Source organism: Homo sapiens, chromosome 6, assembly GCF_000001405.40.
Source record: "Homo sapiens chromosome 6, GRCh38.p14 Primary Assembly".
NCBI lineage: Eukaryota > Metazoa > Chordata > Mammalia > Primates > Hominidae > Homo > Homo sapiens.
The window spans coordinates 93224148-93227563 of NC_000006.12; the positions used below are offsets into that span (position 1 = coordinate 93224148).

General features: G+C 35.6%; 1 annotated feature.

Annotated features, from left to right (window-relative positions):
* Positions 1918-2087: an enhancer, noted in NCBI's record as "experimental_97174 CRE fragment used in MPRA reporter constructs". NCBI's record gives its function as "activates a minimal promoter by MPRAs in K562 erythroleukemia cells, with activity observed for the introgressed 6:93935868 variant allele {active_cell/tissue: K562}" and the evidence as "EXISTENCE:reporter gene assay evidence [ECO:0000049][PMID:34662402]".

Below are 3416 nucleotides of genomic sequence, written 5' to 3' on the forward strand. Positions count from 1 at the left end.
AGGTCTAACATTTAAGTCTTTAATCCATCTTGAATTAATTTTTGTATAAAGTGTAAGGAAGGGATCCAGTTTCAGCTTTCTACATATGGCTAGCCAGTTTTCCCAGCACCATTTATTAAATAGGGAATCCTTTCCCCATTTCTTGTTTTTGTCAGGTTTGTCAAAGATCAGATAGTTGTAGATATGTGGCATTATTTCTGAGGGCTCTGTTCTGTTCCATTGGTCTATATCTCTGTTTTGGTAGCAGCACCATGCTGTTTTGGTTACTGTAGCCTTGTAGTATAATTTGAAGTCGGGTAGCGTGATGCCTCCAGCTTTGTTCTTTTGGCTTAAGATTGACTTGGCAACGCAGGCTCTTTTTTGGTTCCATATGAACTTTAAAGTAGTTTTTTCCAATTCTGTGAAGAAAGTCATTGGTAGCTTGATGGGGATGGCATTGAATCTATAAATTGCCTTGGGCAGTATGGCCATTTTCACGATATTGATTCTTCCTACCCATCACTGGCCATCAGAGAAACGCAAATCAAAACCACAATGAGATACCATCTCACACCACTTAGAATGGCGATCATTAAAATGTCAGGAAACAACAGGTGCTGAAGAGGATGTGGAGAAACAGGAACACTTTTACACTGTTGGTGGGACTGTAAACTAGTTCAACAATTGTGGAAGTCAGTGTGGCGATTCCTCAGGGATCTAGAACTAGAAATAACATTTGACCCAGCCATCCCATTACTGGGTATATACACAAAGGATTATAAACCATGCTGCTATAAAGACACATGCACACGTATGTTTATTGTGGCACTATTCACAATAGCAAAGACTTGGAACCAACCCAAATGTCCAACAATGATAGACTGGATTAAGAACATATGGCACATATACACCATGGAATACTATGCAGCCATAAAAAATGATGAGTTCATGTCCTTTGTAGGGACATGGATGAAGCTGGAAACCATTATTCTCAGCAAACTATTGCAAGGACAAGAAACCAAACACTGCATGTTCTCACTCATAGGTGGGAATTGAACAATGAGAACACATGGACACAAGAAGGGGAACATTACACACTGGCGCCTGTCGTGGGGTGGAGGGAGGGGGGAGGGATAGCATTAGGAGATATACCTAATGTAAATGACGAGTTAATGGGTGCAGCACACCAACATGGCACATGTATACATATGTAACAAACCTGCACGTTGTGCACATGTACCCCAGAACTTAAAGTCTAATAATAATAAAATTAAAAAAAAAAAGACTAGCAGTGAGAACTTAGAGGTGTGACAAGCCTGCAGGGTGGAGATAGAGAGGTGGAGCCACAGCTTCAGAACCACGTGTTTCTGACTGCGGGCTTGAATCATTATCAGATAACCTTACAGACCCAGGTATTACAGTGCAACTTTAGGACACTAATAAAATAAATTTTAGGTGTATGTAATTCAGGACTGCAAAATTACTATAGTTTTTCTATTCTCCAACATTTTTTTTTTAAGTTGCATGGAGTTTTCCTCATATTTTATGCCATTTATACTCTTTTTTATAAACAGCATAAAGTGTCATGGCTCCCAGCACCTGAAAACTAGATTTAGGAGATTTTTATAGCACATGTTGAGAAGATAGTTTTTTTAAATTGATTATTCACTATTCCAAATTTTTAAGTATTGTCTATTAAATTTTACTGATGTATTTCTTTCAATATCTTAAAACTATTTTTTTTAAATTGGAGAACTGCATTATACTAATAACATCCCTTTATTTTTTTTTTTGATTGGAAGCTATTTTAAAAAATTAAACTTGTCACTAGAAAAACCTGAAATAAAAATCATATTGAATACAAGTATTTCTTCATCTACACATTTTGTATTTTTAGCTCTTTAATGGATAATGTAAGACATTCACATTTTATGGTTCTGGGAAGCTTTATGAGAAGATTCTAGAAATATATACTTGTATTTCTCTCCTGCTCAGATGCGAGAACATTTAGAACCAGGAAGGCAGAAATAAGCAAACAATTTAGTTAATGTGGTATGCAGGTAAGAGTGTGGTGCTTCAGAGTCAAATATAGCCACTAAGGATGTGTGACCTTGTACTCAACTGCTCTAGAACTTGGCTTTCTCATCTGTGGACTGCGAATATCTGCCTCACAGAGATATCATGATATATAAAAAGAAGGTATATATTGAGTCTAGAAGTTAAACTCCTCTACAGATGGCTATGATGTAATAATGTCATCAGTAAATATCCATCTAAGTTTAGCTATTACCTTTATATATTTCTTTATTTTCTTATCAAAAGACTTTATAACTCTTGTGTTTCTAATGTGTGGATTTGTTCATGTATGTTTGTATTTCCTGCACCCTTAACTATCCTAGCATCCTCTCTGGATTGGAGATAGTGGGATAGTTCTTATCCCTGTAATTCAGTTTATGTTCATCAATAGTTCTGATATGGGTTTCTTTTCTTTTCTTTCTTTCTCTCCACTATGCTTGGCTAATTTTTTAAATTTTTTCGTAGATACAGGGTCTTGCTATGTTGGCCAGGCTAGTCTTGAACTTCTGGCCTCAAAAGATTCTCCCACCTCAGCCTCCCAAAGTGCTGAGATTACAGGCATGAGCCACTATGATCGGCCCTAATACAGCTTTTCAATCTGTACCAAAAAGTAGTGTACTGTTTTTAAAGGGTAACTCCTCTTAGAATTTATAGACAGTTAGCTTATTAGATATTTCATCTAAAAATATGCAATTTCTGTCTGCAATTATGAAATGACAATAATTTACAAAAGGAACTGCTGAGTTTTAGGCATTGCCTTAACACATCAGAGCACATATCACCTTGTCAATATAGTTACTAGAAAACTCTCAAGGCTGCTTGGGTTAATTATTTAAAGAATGTCCTTCAAAGGAAGCAGTTATGGGTTATGCCATTTGAGTTTGATGTGCTAAAGAGCCTGGCCCCTAATACTAGTGTGATTTTCAGATAATAAGAGGGTAAAGAAGGGATATGAAGTATATACTGCAAATGGGCAATAAATATTCTCCTTCTATTTAATGCATACGCTCAGATTATTTTTAAGAAAGAAAGCTTCACTAATTCATATCCAGATAGTTAACTCCAATAGAGTATTCAGTCTGAAAAATGTTTATGGGTCTATTCTAAAAATATTTTGGATTTTGTTAGTTGTCATCCCAAATCATATAAAAAGTAAGACTGCATGTGGTGACACCTAGTATTTGGTTAACAATAAAATAAAATCAATATGCATTCATGTTCCTAAATATCTGGATAACAGATCTCATTGGCCAATAAAGAGTGGCCAGTACAAGTTTTAAAACTTTTCTTCAAGATATTTAAAAGTTACATACCCAGCCATGGTCTGGTGTTAGTTTCATTACAATATATTAAATATGGAT